The sequence below is a fragment of the Homo sapiens genome, chromosome 3 (assembly GCF_000001405.40).
Source record: "Homo sapiens chromosome 3, GRCh38.p14 Primary Assembly".
NCBI lineage: Eukaryota > Metazoa > Chordata > Mammalia > Primates > Hominidae > Homo > Homo sapiens.
This window is the reverse complement of record NC_000003.12, coordinates 9,311,590-9,336,583: the sequence shown is the minus strand read 5'-3', so window position 1 is coordinate 9,336,583 and position 24,994 is coordinate 9,311,590. Positions and strand designations below refer to the sequence as shown.

General features: G+C 41.9%; 1 protein-coding gene across 1 annotated transcript in view; it reads left to right on the top strand.

The window, feature by feature from the left end:
- The window catches only part of SRGAP3 (SLIT-ROBO Rho GTPase activating protein 3), a 382,437-nt gene that overhangs the window by 26,444 nt on the left and 330,999 nt on the right, over nucleotides 1-24,994 (top strand). The window contains exons 2-3 of the mRNA XM_024453843.2: nucleotides 5,988-6,056; nucleotides 10,416-10,574. The gene's annotated coding sequence lies outside the window, so the exon portion shown is untranslated. The remainder of the gene's footprint in view (nucleotides 1-5,987; nucleotides 6,057-10,415; nucleotides 10,575-24,994) is intronic.

The window sequence follows — 24,994 nt, the reverse complement described above, 5'->3', positions numbered from 1 at the left end:
ACCCATCGTGCTCTCTTTTTCTCCTTCCCTCTCCCAACAACATTTCTTTAAAATTAGAAAATAAACTTCAGCCAGGCATGGTGTCTCATGCCTGTAATCCTAACAACTTGAGAGTCTGAGGTGGGATGATGACTTGAGGCCAGGAGTTTGAGACCAACCTGTGCAATATAGCAAGACCCCATCTCTACAAAAAATAAAAATTTAATCAGGCACAGTGGTGTGTGCATATAGTCCCAGCTACTCAGGAGGCTGAGGAAGGAGGATCCTTCTCTCCAGGAGTTTGAGGTTACAGTGAGCTATGATCACACCACTGAACTATAGTCTGGGTTACAGAATGAGACTCGAGAGGGAGAGGGAGAGAGAAGAGAGGGAGGGGGAGGGGGAGAGGGCTTCCAAAAGACAAGTTCTGAAAAGCATTGAATTACATTCATTCCTGTGCACTGTGCTTTGTGGGGATGACCAAAATACTGGTATATTTGAAGTTCAAGGAAGGAAGACCTAGGGGAAGCCTCCGTTACAAATGAATAGAGAAAAAAGTGAGTTTATTTCCTAATGTTCTAATTCCCCAGTGTTTTTCCCCAGAGATAGGTAGAGTCTCAACCATCTTCTTTTTTCCCCTAGTTTCAAGGTCCAAGTGAAGTCCCATGGCTGCAAATTAGAGTCATTTAAAAATTCTAAAGGCTGGATAAGCAAGAGACTGACTAAAAAAAATAATAATAAGAAAACGAAGAAAAATCCTAAAGTCCAGGCTGCATCCCAGACCATTTAAATCTTAATCTCTGTGGCTGGTACCTTGGCATTGATATTTTATAAACTTCTCCAGGTGATTTCAGTGCATAGCTAGGATTGAGAACCAGTGTGAAGTCTTCCCGATACCTGAGTTTCATCCACAGAGTATAAGAATCAGTAGGTCTGGGGTGGGGCTCAATAATGTGCATTTCTAACAAATTCAGAGGTGATGCTGATGCTACTGGTGTGGGGAACCTCACTTTGAGAACTACTGTCCAAAAGGACCAGGACTAAGGAAGAGAGCCCAAATGAGCCTGATATGGCTCCCTGTGATTGAGGAAAACCTAATAGAATGGACAGAAAAGTAAGGACCAGCTGGAAACATTACTTGGAGGTTACTAATTGATGGCCCAAGCCCCAAATCTCCTAGTCCATAGATATGTTTTGTAGAGTCACATGATGTTTTCCATTTAAAAAAATTAGTTAATATTTCAAAATCAAAGATTTATACACACATATAAATTCACTCACACGTACAAATCTTTTGACTTTTCAAGAAAAATAGGCTGGCAACAAGGAGCCCAATTTCCTACATGGCAACATTCAACATTAGCAACAAGTACTAGCGGCCCTGCTATCCCAAATGAGCCCAGCCCCCAGGCAATCTTTCAAATCAATGGGACCATATGAGTGAGCCCAGGCAAAACCAGCAGAAAAACTGCTGAGAAAACCCACAAAATAGTGAAAAGTAATATACATTGTTAATGTAAGCCACTAAGTTGTGGGATGATTTGTTATGCAAGAATAGCTAACTGATACAATTGGCAGAGTTCCCATAGGCCTGCTTTGCTCAGTTTTGTTACCTCCCTGGCCCCTGTAGGCAGGTACATTTCCAGCCTGGCTCTTACCCTGAAGACACTGGACAGATTTCAAAGCCTTTTCCACACCCGTTATCCCAACAACCTTGCATGGTCAGCTGGTATTAAATCCCCATTTTGCAGATGAGGAATCTAAGAACCAGAGGGCTAAGGGACATTCCTAGAGCCACGTAGTAGCAGAGCACGATTTCTCATCCTATCACTTTTCACTTTTGGTTCAGTGCTTTTTTCTTTCCATTTGGGTAGTTGACTGTCAGTCTCCTGAGGCCATTAGACCTGGCAGTCACCAAGGCCAAACTCTGTAAACTAATGGAGTGGGATGTTTTCAAGAAGGGGGACCCTCCATCTTGTCTTTGTTTATGAGAATATTATCTGCAAAGTGCCTAATATAGTGACTAGTACATAAAGGGCCTTAATGAGAGATGATTACTCATGTTATTACCCACTCTGTTTCCATAGTATCCATTGATGTTTCTTTCCTTCTTTCCCTCCCTCCATACCCTGGTTGGATTAGTTAATCTCTTATCTAAGATTGGATACATTTTCTGTATATCTAGTACAACACATATCACATTGTATTATATTTTTCGTGTGTCTCTCTACTGCCTCAGCCCTTGGGTGCTCTAGTTTCAGGAATCATGGATTTCCTGTTTATTTCCAATCTCTCTAGCACAGGACCTGGCTGAATAAATGATGATTGAATACCATTGAAATTGAATTACACAGTTGCAAGATACGTTCAATCACATTCTTGTTTAAATTTTTTTAAAAAAACTTTATTTTGAAATAATTATATATTCATAGGAAGTTGCAAAAACAAAATAAATCAACATTCACACACACATTCTAGTTTGACTCTTACAGCAATCATCCTGTGAAGTATTATTGTTAATATCATGTTAAATGATATTAATATTAATATTAAAATATTAAAATATGAGGAAACAGAGGCTCAGTATCCTGAGAATTTCTTTGCAGTTGGTGATGCTAAAGGGGTGTTTATGAGGTGATTGCTATTCCTTGCATTTCTTTACCATTTCTGCCATGTTTTCTTCTTGATGGCAGAGCCCAAGTCTTATGTTGACCTCTATCCCCAGCATGAGGCATAGCAGGTGGGAGACTCTCAGTAATTGTTGATTTGAATTTAATTTTCACTTGTATATGTTAGAAGTTATGTCTAGTACCACTCTAGGGAAATGTTTAAAAATTGCCTATGATTAAGTCTACCAAATTGTACCCTCATTCTTTTATCGCAGATCAGATGCTTACAGAGAGAGAGGGAGAGAGACTGGGAGAAAGAAAGAAAGGGAAAGAGAGAAATCTTTGAGAAAAGAAAGACATGGGAAATTGCTAGGTAACCCAACCCTGTCTGAAGAAATAATTGTTTCTTTGTGCCACCACCGGAGAAATGCAGGACTGTTATGTGAGGAACAATTTTGCTTTTTGTGTATCAGGTAAGGCAGAAAGGAGCGGAGTAAGGTTCAAGACAAGGAGGAATTAGAAGGGGCCAAGCGATTGAAATCAACAAAGGGAACAGACCAAGAAATATGAGAAATGGAGAGGAAGGAAAGGCTGAGTGGGTGTAATGTTGATAGCATTTAAAAGGGAGTAGGGAATGCAAAGTGACCTGCTGTGAAGGAGCCCTAAGATATCATCTGAATTATTTTTCCTGTGAGATACTTTCTCTTGAAAAGAATTCTTGTCATCCAACCCTAAACACCACTACAGTATTTTTTGGGTGTAGTTGCTTTTAACAAGTTACATAGCTTTATACCAGTGAGTCTGATGGCTTTATTATTGTTTGCATTCTTCCTTTCCGAGAGTAATAACAAGCTTTAAAAAGTAGACTATAATTTTAATTTAATAATTTGATTAATCTGTGATAATATTCTGGTTTTTATAAAACTAAAATATGCTAAGTCATTCTGTCAAGAAGCTAGCGTATTTTTTCCCCCTGCCATTGTGGTTGCGAATGTTGTTAAGGAATGACCTATATGCAAGAAACATCTCTTGGTATAGTGGGTTCCATATCATGCTTTGAGCTAATATGATTTTCTAGTGTGGAGCCATTTGAGTCTGAATAAAAGTGACAGCTACGGGAACAAATTGTCATATTCTCCTTGCAGCAAGTTCCGTTGCTCACGAGTCTATTATTATTGAAGAAGCATTTAGTTGTAGGTAAATGACCCTTGCCTTCTGTCTTTAATTGAAACTCAGCCTGCCACAGTTAATATGTTTTATGAGTCAGTAAAGCTTGGAAGAAAATCCTAATGTGTTTTTAAAAGCAAAGGAAAAAAATTAATTGGTTTCAGCACACGTTTTCCTATGCAAACAATTCTTTTCTTTTATATAGAAAAAAACTCTCTTGACATTCTTTTTTTTGCGTAATCTTCTGCACTGTCTCATCAGTATCTGTTCAGTTGCACATAGTTGTGTTTTGAAAAGAAGAAACCTTTGGTCCATTTGGAAGGGAGTGTGAGACCTATAATCACTCTCTGACCATGGAATTTGGGCTTGATCTGTGAACTAGGAGAGGAGATACAAGATAACCTCACTGGGCTGGGTGTGGTGGCTCATGCCTGTAACCCCAGCACTTTGGAAGGCCAAGGCAGGTGGATCACTTGAGGTTGGGAGTTCAAGATCAGCCTGGCCAACATGGTGAAACCCTGTCCCTACTAAAAATACAAAAATTAGTTGGGTGTGGTGGTGCACACCTGTAATCCCAGCTATTCAGGAGGCTGAGGCATGAAAATTGTTTGAACCTGGGAGGCGAGTTTGCAGTGAGCCAAGATGGCACCACTGCACTCCAGCCTGTGTGACAGAGTGAGACTCCATCTCAAAATAATAATAATAATAATAACCTCAATGAAAGGGCTTGTACCACATTGAATAACTTTAATATTTCTTCGTAGCATTGGCCCAGCATAGGCACCTCAATGACTTGAGATCTTCTTTCACTTTGTAAATTGAAGTTGTATCAGTTAGCTATTGCTCTATAACAAATAATCCCACAACTTAGTGGCTTAATTAACAACAGTATATTACTTTTCACTATTTTATGGGTTTTCTGGGTAGTTTTTCTGCTAATTTTGTCTGGGCTCACTTATATGGGTTAATTCATTTGGAAGGTTGTTGGCTGGAGGCTGGGTTCGTTTGTTATAACAGGAATGTCTAGGCCTCTCTCCATGTGGTATTTCATTTTAGGCTTGTTTACACCATGGTGGTCTTGGACAGGGGTTCTGAGAATATGAGAGTGAAATCTGCAAGTCCTCTGCAACTTATGCAATGTCATTTCTGCCCTATTCTGTCAGTCAAAGCAAGTCTCAAGGCCAACTCAGATTTGAGGAATGGGGAATATACCTCTTGAAAGAAGGAGCTCCAAAACCTTGTGGCCAAGTCTTTTTAGTCTACCATGTGGCTAGTTATCGAGGAGAGAATTATTAGGACATATGGGGCTGGGGTGGGTGGTCATATCTGGGTTTTGAGTCTCACATAGTTGCCATCTGAGCCAGCCAGCTCAGCTGAGTCTTTATGTATTTATGAGGGTAGCTGGTTCTGTGCATGCATGCATGCATATGTAATTGCATTCCAAAGTCAGTCCCCATCATATGGCCCCAAGCTTCATCTCTTCATCTTTAAAGTAGGAATAATAATAGTGCCTCTTACATAAATTGTGAGGATTAAATGAGAGAGGGAATGTGTGGAAAGTGCTTTGCAGTTCCTGGCACGTGGTAGGTATTCAAATGAATGATAGCTAATTTTACTTTTAAATTTTCTTATTTTAAATTCTTAGCTATTTGTGTGTGTTTGTTTTATAAGCAATCCACATTCTTTGCAGAAAAATTGGAAAATATGGAAAAGCAAAAAGAGAAAAAAAGCTAATTTCAAGTTACTCAGTATCTTACTGCCCAGATTTAGTTACTGTCAATCTTTTGGTGAAATCCATTTATAGTTGTTAAAGCAAACTAAATATGGTCTGAGAAGGACTCTGTACTTCTATATTTGAGTCCTTTTGGATGAACTGTAACCTAGTTTAATAGTCAGACAAAAACCTAACTTAGTAGTATGCGTCTGTAATAATAGCTGAGTGTTGGCCAATCCCAGCAGCCATAATTTAACCACTCATTGACTGCTGAATCTTCAAACTCCATTCAAATAAGGCAAATGCTGAGCTGTAATCAATCTCACTGTTTCTGTACCTCACTTCTGATTCCTGTACGTCACTTTACCTTTTTTGTCTATAAATTTGTTCTGACCACAAGCTACCCATGGAGTCTCTGTGGGTCTGCTGTGATTCTGGGGGCTGCCTGATTCACAAATCATTCATTGCTCAATTAAACTCCTTTAAATTTAATTTGACTGAAGTTTTTCTTTTATCAGATGATGTCAGAAGTGGGATCCGAAGTGGAGCTTCTGGTGACGCCCAGGAGTGCTGAGTGAACACGCAAGGTACCTGCAGGACCCGTTTGTGTCCATTGATCTCTCAGAGTGGCTGGGGATCGTGGGTGCTAAGCTCCCTTTCGGATTTTGGAGCTCTACGGATTTGTGTTTTAAGCTCTCCAAGTTTCTTTGAGCAAATTTCTGATCCAAACTGGGTTTGGAGTTGCAACAGAAACTGGACTGGGTCCAGGGATGGATTTGATCTGGGAATTAACTGGCTTGGATCCAGTTAGAGGACTCTCATATCTGACTGGGTCATAAAGGAACTGGTAGTAAGCAGTAATATTGCAGGGATTATAAAATATGGCTTTTGGAAATTCACAGGGATTATTGTGTTCTGCCTCTTTGTTTCATTTTTCTTGCACACTTAGGAAAAATCATTGGCTAAGTTATTCAGGAAAACCTGAATAAAGTCAATATTTTAGGTAGAAATGTGATCCTTAATTTCTGGAAAACTGAGTTCCTTCTGGCTTATGCATTAGGCCTGGGAGGCAGCGAAGTCTTATAGAAATGGCAAAATCTTACTAAAGATAACTTGCAGTGGAACATTCCAAATGAACAATAATGCATTGAAGTACTTTTAAAAATGAGGGCTCTTGGTAAAGTCCCTTTTGGCTAAGAACGGGTTTGGCACTGTGGGATGTCAACTGCTCTTCTGTTTGGAATAATCTGCCTTGCACTCTTTGCTGATGGCTGTGGGTGACAGGATTAGGCATGTACAGGATCGTGGGACATGGGGAGCTTTTTCCTCCCACCCAAAAAAGGGGAAACTTGAGAGCTGATGGGACTGCTGGAAAAGATCCCTTTGCTGCTAACAAGTGGCCACCTGAACTTTTCAGTGTTGCTGAAACGAATGGGTCTTGCTCTGGCCTCCCTGAGCTCTTCACCTTCCGCACCCTGCCATAGGCAATACTTGCTCTTTTCTTCTTTTCCTTTCCTATCTTTTCTGTTATTCAGGGTGACCATCTTACCCAGACACCATGTGTTGAAATTTCTAGTCGGAGGTTGGGTTAAAGATGAGGGGCCCATCTGAGGGCAAATGTAAGCCTTGCTGGTTTGATATTGGGTGCTAAGCAGAGTAGCTAATGTCTGTGTTTTATCACACGTATTTTGCTATGGCCAGAACAAAAAAAGATCATTTTTCCTTTATGATGCAGCTTGGCCCCCAGTGTGATGGTGCAGCAAGCTGGGTCACTGGGGCCCCTCAGGGAAAGGAAACCCAGAAGCCTGGCATGCCGGCAAAAGGGCAAGAATTTCTTACCAGTCAGATTTCTGGCTTCTCTCTTTCTGTGCGAATGGTTGAATGAATGGTAAAAATCACTGTTTTTCTCCTCTGTAAAGTTTTGATTATGCAAAAGAAGAATTCTGAGGCTAGTCTTAAGCTGATGTATTTTGTGCGATGAATTCATTTTTCTGTGTCGCGGAGTACCTTAGGATAAAACGTGGGGTTAGGACCCCATAAACTCGTGCTCAGGATGGCCCAACAAGCTGTTCCATAACAAACTGCTGCAGGTCCCTGAAACAAACAAAAAAAACTGGATGGGGTCTCCATCTTGTTTTATGTCCTTGGGAGCTTGACCTTGTAAGCTTGTGGCAGTACTTTCTCTTGGTCTCCGCCTTCCAGAGAACAGGAATTTTAGGGTTTATGTCATAGTTAGCTCTAAAAATTATCTTGAGTAGTTAAAAGCCTTTGCAAGTTCAAAATTAACTACTCTAGATTCCTTCTGGGAAGAGCAGTGGAGACTACCCCACGCTGTAGCTCGGTAGCTAAGGTTCTGCCCTTTCACACTGGTGGTTGGGGTTGGAGTCCCTGGTTGGGAAGTAAGTCCTTTCTGGTTTAACATCTGCATGACCTTGTCTATTCTCTTCTCTTCCACAGACTATTTTAAATTTTCCTTTCTCTGAGCAACTATTTTAAATTTTCCTTTCTCTGAGCACCTGGGAGGTTACCTTTGGTAAAGTTCAGAAGCCAGAAATATCAGCCGTTTGGCCTGGCTAAAATTGGATAATAAGAAGTTTTAAAAGGACTTTATTAAAGAGTGCTATGGTTAAAAAGTCAGCTTAATTAAAAGTGGATATTCAAGCTCCAACAGCCTGGACTCCTTGGGAAAAACAGGAGGCACTACAGACCCCTTTCCTGGCCCTGCTCTTCCAAGGACTCCACCATAAAGCCTATAACCAATTAAGAAACTTAAAATGTGGCAAATGAAAAATCGTACAACTACTGTAGTAATCTTCTTCTGTCTGTCTGTGTAATTATATATGTGTTGTGTGTAATGTTTATATAAAAGAGCTCTAATTAATTGGCTTAAAAGTAAGTGCTTAAATCAAGTATTTTGAAAGCAAAATAAAAACTGTAATGCCTTTAGTTCATGTAACTTTAGTAACCTTTGGGAAATAAAAACAGCTTTAAAGATTATTGATAAAATAAAGACATTTTATCTAAATTATGCAGGGCAGATATTAGGTTTTTTAAATGCTTTAAGGTCATAAACTGCTTTGACTTTTGAAAATTGTTCAATTTATTTTGGAGACCTTAAATTCTAAATAAGGTCTGGGGATATATGGAATTAACCATACCCAGTAACTATGCAAAGAAGGTTATGAAGAAAAGAGATCTTATATAAAAAGGATGTTGTATGGTAAATTCCTGTCCCGAAGTAAAATGACTGGTTGTTTGAATTTAGGGCAAGTCAGAAAGTCTAAACATGTCATACATGGTCTGTGTAAGTCATGAAAGAATTTATGAAATGGAATTTATGCCAGAAATATACAACTGAAAGGTAATTAGGCCTCCTAAATGCTTCATAAAATGCTACTATGACTTTTAACTGTACAGCTTGCCTGCTTTACAGCTAGGTAAGGCCTGGGACATGTGGAGTTAGATGCTGGAAAGAGTCAGACCTTATCTGCATTTCTGTCTGGGTCCTAGGCTTCACACCTAGTGCATAATTAAAATCCTATACTTACCAAGATTTTCACCAAAAGTAAAAGTTGCTAAGAGTTAACATTGTAATATGTAGTTGAGACTACTGAAAAAATAGGTTTACATGCAAGGTGTGTAAAGAGAATGAAATGTGTTATTTGTAAGGGATTATAAGAAGGTATGGAAATGTAAATTTTTGCCTAGGTTAGAGGGTTAAAGGATTGTTAAATAAAGCTAAAGATTTGAACAAGTTACGGAAGGTTTATAGAACATTAATTGTAAGAGATTCTGTGTGTGAACATGTTGGCTAAAGTTAAAATGGTGTTATTCAGTTTTTTCCATAAATTGCACATTGGAATAAAAGTACAACAGAGTTTTCTTAGAACATTGTTCTACTCAGAGAAAAAAATTGTAAAGGGTTATAAGAGGTTTATAAAAATCTTACCTTACGGTAAAACTGATTAAAACTGAATAGATTATAAAATGTTATTAAAAACTAGCTTTAACATTAAAAATACACTAATGGAAACATAAAATTTGGTTTTCTCTTTTAAAAATGATTTTTATGTAATATTAAACAATAATGAAAGGTTTTTATTTACCTTTTAAGTAAACTACAAAAGAAAAAGCGGGGAAGGGAAAGAAAGGAGACAGAGTCAGTTGGCCTCATGCTATCTTCATTGGGTCTTGTTTGGAGAGCTGAGTCTCCTCTGTATCAGACTAATGTTTCTTCCTTTAGAAAATTTTTGACTTATCATTTTGGTGAAATGAATGACTTATGGTAACGTGAGATTCTATTTTGTAATATCCAATGTTTTAAACCTTTGGTATTTTAACAGATTTTTCAAAATCAAGCTCTAGATTATCATGCTAAACCAGCCAATACTAAAATTGTTTAAATATACAATTTAAATGAACTCCATGGTCTTAAGTCAAATTACCTGTGATAACTCAGTAGTTATCACTGCTGTGCACCTAAATTGGAGAAGCAACTGGCATTCGAGAGGACATAAGTTCAGTGTTAAGCATGGACTCATGAAGAACCAGGACAGCCACCTTATCCTTCCCAAGTCCTTAAAGCTTTTGTTATTAAAGGTTCTGCATTCCATGACTCGCCATGGAAAAGATAAAATAATCCAAACTGAATATATTGATGTGGTGACTTATACATTGTGGAAATAGTTTAAAACCAATGTTTGGTTCCATATACCTGGGAAGACAGTCAAAACTTTAGGTACATTTGAGTACCTGATGGTCCATTTAAACATTTATAAAGGGATTTCATTCAATTGTCATTTTCAGTGCATGTTTTCTGGTTGTATAAAAGCTTTCCCATGCAAGAGGGCTGTTGTTATAACAGTAGATTATTATGCTATAGTGTATTTTCACCAGGTAAATAAAGCTTTTTATGGTTCACTGATAACAATCCCTTTACAATCTAGAACCCAAAGATTGGATCTTCTGAGAACATCAGAGAAAGACTGTCCTTACCATCCACACCACAGCAAAACTTTGGAGCCTTGAACATTGGGTTCATAATCTCACAGCTGAGAAAGGTCCCTCCACACTCCTGGAACTGTACACCTATTGGAACCCTTAAGGTAAAACTAACCAGGAAAGTTTCTCCCCAGAAGGAGATGGCATCCTTGTTGTGAACAGCTTTTCCCCACAAGAATGGATCAAGACTTCTGCTATCATGAGATTCTTATCCTTGAATATTTTTTCTCTGTTTATGCCTCTATGAACAATAGAAATGAAAAAGGGGTCTATTATGTACACTTATAGGGTATAGTTTTATTTGTGAATGATTTTGCAGCCAGCCTTATACATGAATAACTTTATACTTTAATAGATAAAAGATGAAGGCCCAATGTAGGTGAGAAACCTTAGTGGTACATACGTTGCCTCATAATCAGTCAAAACACCTCTTAACCCACATCATGGATTAAAGAGAATATTGCCAGGAGGCCTTCACTCGTCTAGAAGGACATCATTTGTTAGGCCCTTTTCCCAGGATTTAGGATGAAAGAGGCAATAATTAGAAATGTCTCCTTCATAATAGCCTCCACAGCAAATTCTACTTTAAAGGCCATCATACATAACAGACTTTAAATTCTTATGTGAAAGTTATGCTAAATAATAGAATTGACTAAACAGAAAAGTACATGTGCAGCTGCTGACACTTGTGGCCTATGGAGAAATACATCAAATGTAGATTATAAAAATTCAGTTTTATGGGATTAATGAAAAGACCACTCAGTCAAGTGAATAGACTCTTTATCTAGCTCATTCTTTAATCTATTTAACTTTATGTGGTTTGGTTTATGGGGACCCTGGGTAAGGAGCATACTCCAAACTCTTGGTATTATCCTCCCGATAGTCATAACAATAGCCTCCTTAGTGCTCTCTGTTCTCTAAAAGGTTTTAAATGTTTGCATGCAGCCATCTCTAGAACGTCAAGTAGTCTCTCTTCAAGTGGAATGACAAAAACTGAAAGAAATGTGCGACCATGAGGACATTGTACCCTATGAATGACATGCTGGGACTGGAAACCCAAAATGACGGTAACTGAGAGTGGTGCTAAGGCCCTAAGTTTTGGTTACACTCTCACCTAAGTGAGAACCTGGCCAAAAAGGGGGAATTTTTTTTTTTTTGAGATGGAGTCTGGCTCTGTCGCCCAGGCTGGAGTGCAGTGGCGCGATCTCGGCTCACTGCAAGCTCCGCCTCCCGGGTTCATGCCATTTTCCTGCCTCAGCCTCCCAAGTAGCTGGGACTACAGGTGCCTGCCACCTCGCCCAGTTAATTTTTTGTATTTTTAGTAGACACGGAGTTTCACCGTGTTAGCCAGGATGGTCTCGATCTCCTGACCTCGTGATCTGCCCACCTTGGCCTCTCAAAGTGCTGGAGATGACAGGCGTGAGCCACTGCACCCAGCCCAAAAGGGGGAATTTTTCTAAACAAAATTATGAGAGGCCATTATTTTGCACTGAGCTCATGCACTAGGCCCCGACAAACGAAACCAAACTAAAATGAAGTCACTCGTGTTAAATGTGACATAATCAAACTAAGGCTTTAAAGAAACATAGATCCTAGAACAGATCAGGTTTTGTTTTTGTCCTGTAAACAGGATGTTCCAGCATAGGGAGGTAGCTTCTACTCAGTCTTTATTCTTTCCTTGGAAAACCCACTGCTCTTCTGTTTCCCAGTGGGTTTCAAAACCATGTAAGTACATTTACAATAGTGATAGTAGTTATCAATTAATGAGGTTTTGGTCAATCTCTCAAAATTGAGAAAATGACCAAAAGGGGGGAATTGTTAAAGCAAACTAAATGTGGCCTTAGAAGGACTCTGTATTTCTATGTTTGAGTCCTTGTGGATGAACTGTAACCTAGCTTAATAGTCAGACAAAATTGAAAACCTAACTTAGTAGTATGCGCCTGAAACAATAGCTGAGTGTTGGCCAATCCCAGTGACCATACTTCAACCACTCATAGACTGCTGAATGTTCAAACTCCATTCAAATAAGGCAAACTCTGAGCTGTAACCAACCTCACTGTTTCAGTACCTCACTTCTGATTCCTGTACGTCACTTTACCTTTTTTGTCTATAAATTTATTCTGACCATGAGGCACCCCTGGAGTCTTTGTGAATCTGTTGTGATTCTGGGGGCTGCCCAATTCGCAAATCGTTCATTGCTCAAACTCTTTTAAATTTAATTCCGCTGAAGTTTTTCTTTTATCATAATTTAAACCTTTTTTTCAGTGGTATGCATATATGAATAAGTGTGTGTGTGTGTGTGTGTGTGTGTGTGTTAGATACACAGGGAGAGACATTTGTGTGTATTTGTACTTAGATACATTATTCATAAAATTTAATAAAGAAGAAAACCAGAACTGGTCATTACTTTTTATCATCTGTACCTTCTCATCCCAGAATTTGTTTAGGGCACAGAGACTGCATTGTTAAGTAGTATCTGATTCACAGCCTACCATTTTAGTTTTCCTTGGATCCCAGAGATCAAGACACCAGCTCATACCTGCTACTAGACCTGAATCTTCCAGAGTGAGTCTAGAAAACTCTAGGCCTTCGAGATGTTCTGAGAAAGAAGAGTTCCTTGTCAAATAAATTAGAGAAACGCTGCATATTCCCTGCCAGTCTTTGAGAATCATAGATACCAAATGGTATATTCAAGGCTCTGATATGTCCTGTGATAAAGATTCTTATTTCACTTTAACACAGTATTTTCCAAATTTACATGAAGTCTTCCTTTTATTTTGAAAAGTAATACACAGTAAAATTAACTTTTTTTGGTATATAGTTCCATAAAATTGCACACATACACAGATTCATGTAATCATCACCACAGTCAAGATACAGAACAGTTTCATCCCACCCCAAAACTCCCTGTGCTGTCCCTTTATAGTCAGCACCCCTCCCTGTCCACCTCTGGCAACTATGAATCTGTTTTCCACCACAGTAGTTTTCTTTTTTTCCAAGAATGTCATATTTTGGACATACAGATGGAATCATACACCATGTAGCCTTTGTAACTGTCTTTTTTCACTCAGGGAATGCCTCTGGGACATATCTGTGTTATATGTATGAATAGTTAGGTCTTTTTTGTTGCTGAGTCATATTCCATAGTGTGAATATACCAAAATTTGCTTATCCTGTTGAAGGATATTTCTAGGCTTTGGTGAGTATGAATAGAGCTGCTAGAAACATTCACGTACAGGTGTTTGTGTGAACTTAAATTTTCACTTTCTTGAGGAATGGGATTGCTGGGCCGTATGGTAAGTGTATGTAAACAATTTTTTACTTGTTTTAATCTATTAAGATGGCAGTCCCCAACCTTTTTGGTACCAGGGACTCGTTTTGTGGAAGACAATTTCCATGGACGGTGGGGGGTGATGGGGGGATGGTCTCAGGATGAAGCTGTTCCACCCCAGATCATCAGGCATTGGATTCTCATAAGGAGCATGCAACCTACATCCCTTGCATGTGCAGTTCACAATAGGGTTCACAGTCCTGTGAGAATCTAATGCCACGCCGATGCAACAGGAGGTGGAGCTCAGGTGGTAATGCTCCCTTGCCCACCACTCACCTCCTGCTGTGCAGCCCTGTTCCTAATAGGCCACGGGGACTGGCACCAGTCCACGGCCCAGGGGTTGGGGACCCCTGTATTAAGATCCCACATCACCAGGGTTTCATAGAACATGCTATTAACATCCTACAGACCTAGTCTTTCATGGAACCCACTTTGGGAAGGCCTTGTGTGCTGCCACTTAACGCACTTGGAAAGTCCAATCCACCTTAAATCCATCTCACGTACCCAAATCTTGCTGAGGTTCGGCCACAACTCCCACCACACTCCCCTTTGTTGAGTGCCTACTGCCAGACATTGGTATCATTATCTCATTTAATTGAACTCACACCACAATCTACGATTTTACAGCTGAGGAAACTGAGGCCCAGAGAGGCTAAATGAGTAGCCTAAGTTTCCATAGCTGGTAAGTAGCTAAGATTTGAACCCTGGTATCTTATCTCCAAGATCAGTGCTTCCTCTCCTATCCTACTTACTTGCCTTTTTCTTCCTTTCCTTCTTTAAACATTTATTATTATTATTATTATTATTTTTTAAGTTGTATTTCAGGTTCAGTGGTATGTGTGCAGTTTTGTTACATAGGTAAGCTTGTGTTACAGAGGTTTGTTGTGCAGATTATTTTGTCACCTAGGTACTAAGCCTAGTACCCAAAAATTTTTTCTGATCCTCTCCCTCCTCTCACCCTCCACCCTCTGATAGGCCCCAGTGGGTATTATTCCCCTCTATGTGTCCATGTGTTCTCCTCATTTAGCTCCCACTTATAAGGTATTGGGTTTTCTGTTCCTGTGTTAGTTTGCTGAGGATAATGGCCACCAGCTCCATCCGTGTTCCCGTAAAAGACATGATCTGATTCTTTTTCGTGGCTGCATAGTATCTTTGAACATTTTTATCTGGGTTTGTGGTTGGTTGTAGACCAGCACCAACAAATGACAAACCCGACTGCTGTCACTTCCCACTTCTATGCTCATGGCAGACATCATTAACTGAATTTCATCTTCTCTTTTTCACTCAGTCCTGATGCATCCTTCTCCAGACAACTATCGGTTGGTCAGAGTTAGCACTTGAGCTAATTACCATTCACTGTTTTGTCCTTGTATTAGTTATCTATTGCTATATAACAAACTACCTCAAAACACAGTGGCTTAAAAATAGTAAAAATCACTTATGATCACTCATGATTTCTATGGGTCAGGAATTCAGACAGCAGAGCAGAATGGCCATCCCTGTTCCACCATGCCTGGGGTCATGTTCACTGGAAGACTTGAAGGCTGGGGCTGAAGTCCTCTGAAGGCTTGTCCACTCTCTTGTCTGGTGGCTGATTCTGACTGTTGGCTGAGGGCTAGCTGGGGCTGTTGTCTGAACACCCACATGTGTTTTCTCCATGTGACTTGGGCTTCCTTGTCATATGACACCTTGGTTCCAAAAGCTGGCATCTCAGGAGAGTGAGAGGCAAGTAGAAGTAACAAAGCATTACTTCCACCACGTTCTATTTTTTAGAAGTAAGTCACTAAGTCTGGCTCATTTTCAAAGGGCAGTAATTAGATTCTACTTTAAAAAATGTATATATTACATATACTGTCTGTATATACACACTATATATATATAATGTGAACATATTTTCATTATTCAGAGTAAATTTTTATGTATAGTGCATTAGCAAGGTCTCTTTCAGAAAGTGACAGATACTCAAAAAGGGAATTTATTGGTTTACTTAACTGAGAAGTTCAAGGTGATCAATTTGTCATGACTGGATCCAGGGCCTCAAGGAGTGTTGTTAGGATACAGTCTCTCACTCTCGGTCTCTGTATTAGTCTGTTCTTGCACTGCTATAAAGAAATACCTAAGACTGTGTAATTTGTAAATAAAAGAGGTTTAATTGGCTCATGGTTCTGCAGGCTGTACAGGAAGCATAGCAGCTTCTGCTGCTGAGGAGACCTCAGGAAGCTTCCAATCATGGCGGAAAGCAAAGGGGGAGCGAGTCGTCTCACATGGCAGGAGCAGGAGCAAGAGAGAGAGGTGGGGGAGGTGCTGCACACTTTTAAACAGCCAGATCTCAGAATAACTCACTCACTATCACAAGAACCAGCACCAAGGGGATAGTGTTAAACCATTCATGAGAAATCCACCTCCATGATCCAACCACCTCCCACCAGGCCCCACCTCCAACATTGGGTACTGCAGTTTGACATTGAGATTTGGTGGGGAACACAGATCCAAACCATATATATCAGTTTTCCTCTATATTTTAGCCCTACTTCCTTCTCTGTTGGCTTTATTCTCAGGGAAGCTCTACCTGGGAGATGGTCCGGATGGACATGCCAGCTCCAAGTTTACTTACCAGGTTAACAAGCCCAGAGGGCCATGTCTCCTCTTTTTCCATAGCTCCAGGAAAGCACCAAGATTGGCACTGATTAGCCTGCATTGGGTCACACACTCACCCCTGAGCCAATCCATGTGACAGGGAATCCAGACCCAGCCAGTTGGCATGAACTAGGTTGGGGGAATTTGTTCCTCAAAAGGATGAGACCAGCTTTGTTCTCAGAAGAAGGCTGCTAGACAAAAACAAAAGATGTTCCCTGTGCACGGTGACATGCTTTTGACTCGGGGCTTTCTCTGCTCCCTGCTCCCCTGAGCCTGTCCTGGCTTTGCACTTCTTACTCTCACAGTCATGTTCCTGCTCAACCGCAGACACTCTGAGTCTCTGCCCCAGGAGGACAACTAAAGGGCAAACACACCCTTTCTAGTATAAGGTCTAGCTCTTGACTGCCAATACTTTGATTTACTTCCATAACTCCCTGGATTCCTGACTCCTAATCTAGTGAGAATTTGAGGGATTCAGATCGCTTTGGTTTTGGAGTTAATTTTCTGCACTCCTTACCTGTCTCTCATAGTCAGGAAATGATTACTCCTTGACCTGCGACCTTGACTTTGAACCTCTTGACTTCTTAGTCCCTGGTGTTTACATACCTGTTAACTTTTACTTTCCTTGAATCCCGTCTCTTGGTTTTTTTCCTCTGCCTGTTACCACCCATTCTGGCCCTTGCTGTCATCTGCTGTGCAGTTGTCAGTTGAGGACTGATTTCTATGCCTTGTGTCCACATCTTGAATTAATAGTATCTCTTGGCCCAAATGATTTCCTAACACACATCCCCTGATGAGTATTCTGGGTCATACCTTCTGCACTGACAGGCCTCCCTCTGTCCCTTTCTCTTTTGGAGGACAAGCTAAGGTACAAAGGAATGAGCCTTGAATTCAGAACCAGCATCGCTGGGTTTGGCATTATGTGACTTTAGGCAAGGCTTTTTAATCTCTCTGAGCCTGTTTTCTTATTTGTAAAATGGAGTGAATGACATCTACTTCACAGGATTGCCTTGAAGATTAAACAGGAGAATGCAGGCATTGCAAGATAATAATTCTAAAATACTAATATGTGTGTGTATGTATTTAAAATGAATGTATTTTTTCCCCTTTTAAGCATCTCCCTTTATTCAGTTTTGTCCCCTCAAGCAGGCAAGCCATTCTGTGCTTATTGACTCAGGGAAGAAAATGGCAGATCAGAAAAAACAAAATAAGGATCTTCCTGGCTTTGATTTTCTTTCTTTCTTTTCTTTTCTTTCTTTTTTTTCTTGAGATGCGGTCTCAGTCTGTCACCCAGGCTGGAGTGCAGGTGTGTGATCACAGGTCACTGCAGCCTCGACCTCCCAGGCTCAAGCGATCCCCCCATCTCAGCCTCCTAAGTAGCTACAACTACAGGCACATGCTGCTATGCCTGGCTATTTAAATTTTTTTTTTTTTTGTACAGATGGGGTCTTGCTATGTTACTGAGGCTTGTCTTAAACTCCTGGGCTCAAGTGATCCTCTGCCTCAGCCTCTCAAAGTGCTGGGATTACAGGTATGAGCCACGGCACCTGGCCCTGGCTTGATTTTCAAAAGCTTTAAGTTCTCAGGGGACTATTGAGGGCACCTGCATGTGGCCAAAATAAGTGAGGGCAAGGGGGTTGAAGAGAGTCCCCCTCAGACTAGCAAACATTCCACTGCTCTGGGCAGAGAAGCGGGGTAGGTAGCAGGGGGAAGGAGGAAAGAGGAGGTGTGATGAAAGCAGATATACAGCCAGCCCCAGAGAGAGGGGCCCTGTGCCCTGCTTTCTGTGTGGAGCCCTGTGGAGCAGAAAGGACATGGCTGGGTAGTAAGCCGGTAGATTCTGGGTTCCCAGTGTGGCCCAGAAAGGGTGCTGGGCTGGAGGTGAGGGACATGTCGGTGGTGATGAGTGAGGACTGGTGCCTATGGGCCAGACAAGGTGATGAAATTGTCTGACAATTTCAACAGACAACTGCATGGATAGACAACAGCAAGGACCAGAATGCACCACTCTCCCTCCCATGATTCTCCATAAACACCGAGAACCTGGAGGCATTCCCTGAAAGTGGGAAGAAGATTTCAAATTAGCGGAGGTTATATATTTGCCACTCTAGTCGGATAGGGGCTAAAAATGAAATTGAAATGTTATATTTTGTGTACAACTGTGCAGTAGATTAAGAACCATAACCAGCACCTGTAGAAAGCATGTAGCCTGTATCCATAGGTGGGTACCACAATATGTTTACTGAGTCTGAATCCAGATGTTGTTGAGCCTTTGAATATGTCCAATGTCTTGCTTGATGTGTGAGGCCTGATGGAGTCACTCCCCGTATCAGTGGTTTTCAAGTGTGGTCCCTGGACCAGCAGCATCAGCATCAGAGGGCACTTGTTAGAAATGCACATTCTCAGGCCTTGTCCTGGAGTGACTGAATTGGAAAGTCTCTCAGGTCTTTCTGATGCATACTAGAGTTTGAGAACCTCCCTTCTACATCACTTCTGTTTTCTCTTCTTACACTCTCAGTTTCTCAGACTTATTCTTAGATTTAAATAGCCAACTTACTGATTGACACTTGACCAGCTTTAGCTTTGGGCCAGCCACACATTTTAAGCTTTTACTCTGAAGACAGGAGAGAGCTTCTGATTTTACCCAGAGCTTTTGGCATAGCTATCCCAGTTTCATTGAGGATCTAGTTTCTGGAAGGAAAACAGTGAGATGGGGAGAAGACCCTTTAGTAAATGAGAAGGAATTGCAGGCAAACATGATCTTAAAAACCTTTACCAAATCTTCATGGAGCCGGTGAACTTCACAGGGAACGATTTTGTAGCCAGGCCAGCTCCTAGGGAAATTTACGGCCGAAATATTTCCCTGTTTCTGGGTCAGGAAGTGATAGCACACAGATGGAATTTACAATGGGAGCGTGAATGGAGTCTACGTTAGCTGGTGGCCCCTCCAAGGCTGCAGAGCAAAGGCGCTTTTCACTGGCTCTATTCACATATAATGAGTGCTCCCCAGGCTCTCGGAAGAACGCGGCTGCTGGCTGGCCCCTTTTTCTTTTTCCTCGACTGCTTTCACTTTTCAGAGGGTTGCCCTGTTGCGGTCCACTTGGGATTGGTGTGAGCCTTGATTTGGCAGGAGAAAGGAAGAAGTACACGGTGGCCTACAGAATTGAATTCTCTGCCTCTCTGGCCCCTTTCCTTGAATAATAGGCCTTTGTGCTTTGAAATGCAGGGAAGTCCCAGTTTCTCAGGCTTTAAAAAAACTCAGACCTTCCTCTAACCTCCTCTCCCGCCTTCAGATGCTTAGCAGGGAGTAGTTAAGGGGGCAGAACAATTATCAAATCAAGTATTTCTTTAATGTTAGAAATTGCTTGGATAGTTGATTTCTAAACAATATATGTGATGCATTCCTTCAGATGGACAAAAATATTGGCTTAACTTAAAAATTCAGCTTAAAAAATTATATGAGATTGCTATATTAATTTTTTTTTGTTTTTGAGATGGAGTCTCTGTCACCAGGCTGGAGTGCAGTGGTGCGATCTCAGCTCACTGCAACCTCCGCCTCCTGGGTTCAAGCCATTCTCCTGCCTCAGCCTCCCGAGTAGCTGGGACTGCAAGGCATGCGCCACCATGCCCAGCTAATTTTTTTGTATTTTTAGTAGAGACGGGGTTTCACCATGTTGGCCAGGATGGTCTCAATCTCCTGACATTGGGATCCACCCGCCTCGGCCTCCCAAAGTGCTGGGATTACAGGCGTGAGCCACCGCGCCTGGCCTATTAATTTTTTTTTTTTTAACCAAGAAGGCTGAGTGTGGTGGCTCACACCTGTAATCCCAGCACTTTGGGAGGCCAAGGCAGGTGGTTCTCTTGAGGCCAGCAGTTCAAGACCAGCCTGGACAACATGGTGAAACCCGGTCTCCACTGAAAATACAAAAATTAGCCAGGTGTGGTGGTGTGTGCCTGTTATCCCAGCAACTTGGATGGCTGAGGCATAAGAACCTCTTGAATCCAAGAGGCGGAGGTTGCAATGAGCTGAGATCGTGCCACTGCACTCCAGCCTGGGTGACAGAGGGACACTCTGTCTCAAAAAAAATAAATACAATAAAATATTAAAATATTCAACAAAACCAAGCACTGTTTGACTCTAACCTGTGATCCACTTTCGTGAAGTATTTGACAGAGCAAAATTACATTGCCAAAGAGGAATTCAGCCTTTGCAGTCTATTGAGATGGGTTTTTATAATAAATATAGTTTAAGTAATTCATCTCTGTTTTCCCTTCCCTAATTTTATGCTGCAGTTTCTTTTAAAGGTGTGTGTTAATAGCATTGCATTCTTTTTTTTAATCTTGAAAGCAAATTTTGTAGAAAAATCATTATCATCATTTAGGCGCTCACATTTTCAGTGGTTTAAGCATATTTTGTACATCTTTAATTTTTATTTCACTGTAAAACATATGATTTCACTACATGTATTTGAATTTTGTACAGTGTGGCAGAAGATGGAAAACATTCTTCCATCAAGGACTATTATTGAACTGTTTGGCTGAGTTACTCAAGGTCTTGCTTTAGAACTATAAACTTCACGTAAGAGGTTATTGTCTCCCATCCCCAGCAGCCATTACCCTTCCTTTCGTTTCAAGCCCAGATTTGTGTTTTCTCCTTGTCTCAGTCCACGTGCTCTCTGTGAGGTTCCACTCACAGCTCCAGGACTGGAAGACATGACCCTCACCTGGCCAATCAAATGATCAAATCCTCTTCCCAGGATGGGGAAGGGAGGCTAGAGTGATTGGTTTAAGGAGGGGGTTGTGGTCCAGCCATAGCCTGTGAAATGCAGTGGGACTTTTCTGGGATTGGTGGGAGAGAGGCAGGGGCCCTCTTTCCACCCAAGCTTCAATCTGGGAAAAGGTTGGGTGGGAGGTGCAGCAGCCCAGTTGAAAGCCTTAAGCTGCTGGCAGAGGTTGGGAGCCTTGGAAGAGCCTGGGGCTGAATGAAGCCAACCCAGCTGAAGATAGACTGGAGAGGTGGAAACATAGTCCCGATGATGTCATTTGAACCCTGGTGTGAGGCCAGCCCTACCAGACCAGCCTGACCAGTATAGTTTTTTGAGCCAATAAATCTTCATAGTGCTTATGCCAGTTTAGTTGGGTTTCCTGTTACTTTCAATGGAAGAGGCTTTTTGATAACACTGGTCATGCCAAGGCTGGTCTGGAGTTCAAATGTGCTGGGAATTTGCCAAGATGAGGCTCCAGGCACTGAGAATGAAGCTGAAGTCTGGTTATCAGAACCCGGGCTCCAGTGCCAGGTCCCCTCCCTGGCCTCTGCCCAGAGAAGGAGAATCCCTATGCTGGTTTCTGTAGAGGGGCACTGAAGCTACCTACAGCCTTACTTTCCCGGGTCAAGTCTGTTCTGAGAGCTGAGAGCAGGACTGGACTTGGAGGTGGGGGATCACAGCCCTCCAGCACTGGGGAGAGGAGGGCAGGGTGGAGAGAGGAGGGCAGGGTGGGGAGAGGAGGGCAGGCTGGACACATATTGTGAGGGGGCTATAGTAAGACAAAAAACTCACCCAGTATTACATCTCTTTCATTGCAGGGACTTTTCCCTGCTCTGTTTCTCAGTGTGCCCATGAGAGCAGGGAATGTGTCTACTTTGGGTCTCTGTCCCGAACATTCTTTTCTTCTTCTTCCCCTTCTCCTTCTCCTTCCTTCTTTCTTCTTTCTTCTTCCTCCTGTCTCCCTTCTGTCTTCTCTCTTCTTTATTCTTCGAGATAGGGTCTCCCTGTGTTGCCCAGGCTGGTCTCGAACTCCCAGGCTCAAGTGATACTCTCAGCTTGGCTTCCCAAAGTGTTGGAATTACAGGCATGAGCCACCACACCTGCCCTGGAACATCTTCTCACCCTGTTGTGGTCTGCCTAACTTCCACAACTGGATTAGACATCTCTCCTCAGTATTCTCCTACATGCCTTTACTTAATGATCATCACATTTCTTGTCCCGTATTTTTATTCATTCATTCAATAGCTATTTATCAAGTGCTATTCCAGGCACTGGTGGTACAGCAGTGAACAAGACAGACAAAAGTTCTGCCCTGAAGGAGTTATGTTCTAATAGGCAGAGATATACAAAAAACAAAATAAATTATAAGCTATTTTCTTTTTCTTTTTAGACGGAGTCTCACTCTGTCATCTAGCCTGGAGTGCAGTGGCACGATCTCGGCTCACTGCAACCTCTGCCTCCGGGTTCAAGCGATTCTCCCACCTCAACCTTCCAAGTAGCTGGGACTGCAGGCGCATGCCACCACACCCGGCTAATTTTTGTATTTTAGTAGAGATGGGGTTTCGCCCTATTGGCCAGGCTGGTCTCGAACTCCTGATCTCAGGTGATCTGTCCATCTCGGCCTCCCAGAATGCTGGGATTACAGGCGTGAGCCACCATACTGGCCAATTATGAGCTATTTTCTTTTTTCTTTTTTTTTTTAAGACATAGAGTCTTGCTCTGTCACCCAGGCTGGAGTGCAGTGGTGCAATCTTGGCTCACTGCAACCTCTGCCTCCCAGGTTCAAGCAATTCTCCTGCCTCAGTCTCTTAAGTACCTGGGATTACAGGTGTGGCTGATTTTTTGTATTTTTTAGTAGAGATGGAGTTTCGCTATGTTGGCCAGGCTGGTCTCGAACTCCTGACCTCAAGTCATCTGCCTGTCTCAGCCTCCCAAAGTGCTGGGATTACAGGTGTGGGCCACCATGCCTGGCCAATTATGAGCTACCTTTCAAAGTAGATAAATGTGAAGGGGAAAAACAGAGAGGATAGGAACTGACAGGGAAAGGGCTTGTAATTTTTAATGGACTTGGAAGTGAAGACTTCATTGAGAAAGTGGCAGTTGAGCAAGACTTGAAGAAGCTGAGTGAACGTGCCATGTGGGTATCTAGGGAGGGAGAAAGCTTTCCAGGTGAATGCAACAGCAAGTGCAAAGGCTCTTAGGCGGGGGCTTAGTGTTTGAGCAAGGAAGCCAGTTTGGGAGGAGTGGAGTAAGCACTTGGGAGAGGAGTGTGGCTGGGAACATGGGTAGATTGCAGATCACCCCCAGCCTTGTAGATGGGGAGCAATGGGGGCTTTTCAGGAGAGGAGGAAGATGACGTTTGTTTTTTGTTTTATTTATTTATTTTTAGAGACAAAGTCTCGCTCTGTCACCCAGGCCGTAGTGCAGTGGCACAAACATAGCTCACTGTAACCTTGAACTCCCGGGCTCAAGTGATCCCCCTGCCTCAGTCTCCTTAATAGCTAGGACTGCATGTGGGCACCACCACACCTGGCTAATTTTTTAAATTTTAATTTTTTGAAGAGACAGGGTCTCGCTATGTTGCCCAGGCTGGTCTCCAACTTCCAGCCTCCAGCATTCCCCCCAACTCAGCCTCCCAAAAGGCTGGGATTACAGGTGTGAATCACTGCGCCCAGCCTTGTCTATTTTAAAAGAACCTTTGGCTACTCAGCTGAGGATGGACTGTTAAATAACCTCTCTCCCATGCTCATCAGTTCATTTCATAACAGCAGAGACTCTAATTGTGTCGTTCATGACTGCTTCCAGTGACCTACCCAATGTCTGGCTCTTTGAGCTTGTTGAATGAACAAAAGAAGGCCTGAGCATGTGGCTAGACAGAGATATTCGCTGTTCATTGCATGACACATGTCAAAAATTGAATCTCGGCCAGGTGCGGTGGCTCACGCCTGTAATCCCAGCACTTTGGGTGGCCGAGGCGGGCAGATCACTTGAGGTCAGGAGTTTGAGACCAGCCTGGCCAACATGGTGAAACTCCGTCTCTACTAAAAATACAAAAAAATTAGCCGGGCGTGGTGGTGGGTGCCTGTAGTCCCAGCTACCTGGGAGGCTGAGGTGGGAGAATCACTTGAACCCAGGAGGCAGAGGTTGCACTGAGCCAAGATTGCACCATTGCACTCCAGGCTGGGCGACAGAGCAAGACTCCATCTCAAAAAACAACAACAATAACAACAACAACAAAAAACAACATAAACAAAAATTGAATCTCAGCTAATTGTCAGTTTTTCAGAGTAATGAAAGAAAACTGTGGTTCCTGTGGCCCACATGCACAGACGATTGTGCAGATTAGATATAAAAATTATAACATTTGCTCAACTTTCATTTACTAGTCCAGCTGAACTCTATGCATTGGCAAGTGGATGCATTAGCACTCATGTAAATTACTTTAGAAATAGTGGAGTGTTACAGTTACTTTCTGTTCAATCCTATCAGCAGAGATTTGACACAGAAAATATTTCTAGTATTACAGCAGGGTAAGTAATGGCAATGCATGAGTGCTCCCTGACCCTACCCCCACCTCCTCCAACCCCAGCATCATTAATTTTAGGAAACCCTTTATAGCAGAGGAAGACAACCTGTGGTCTGCAGGCCAAACGCAGCCTGTGGCCTGTTTTCATACAGCCTGTAAGTTCTAAGAAGGGCTTTTACATATTTGAATAGTTGAAAAAAAGTCGAAGGAAGAATAACATTTTGTGACATGTGAAAATGATACAGAATTCAGATTTTAGTGTCC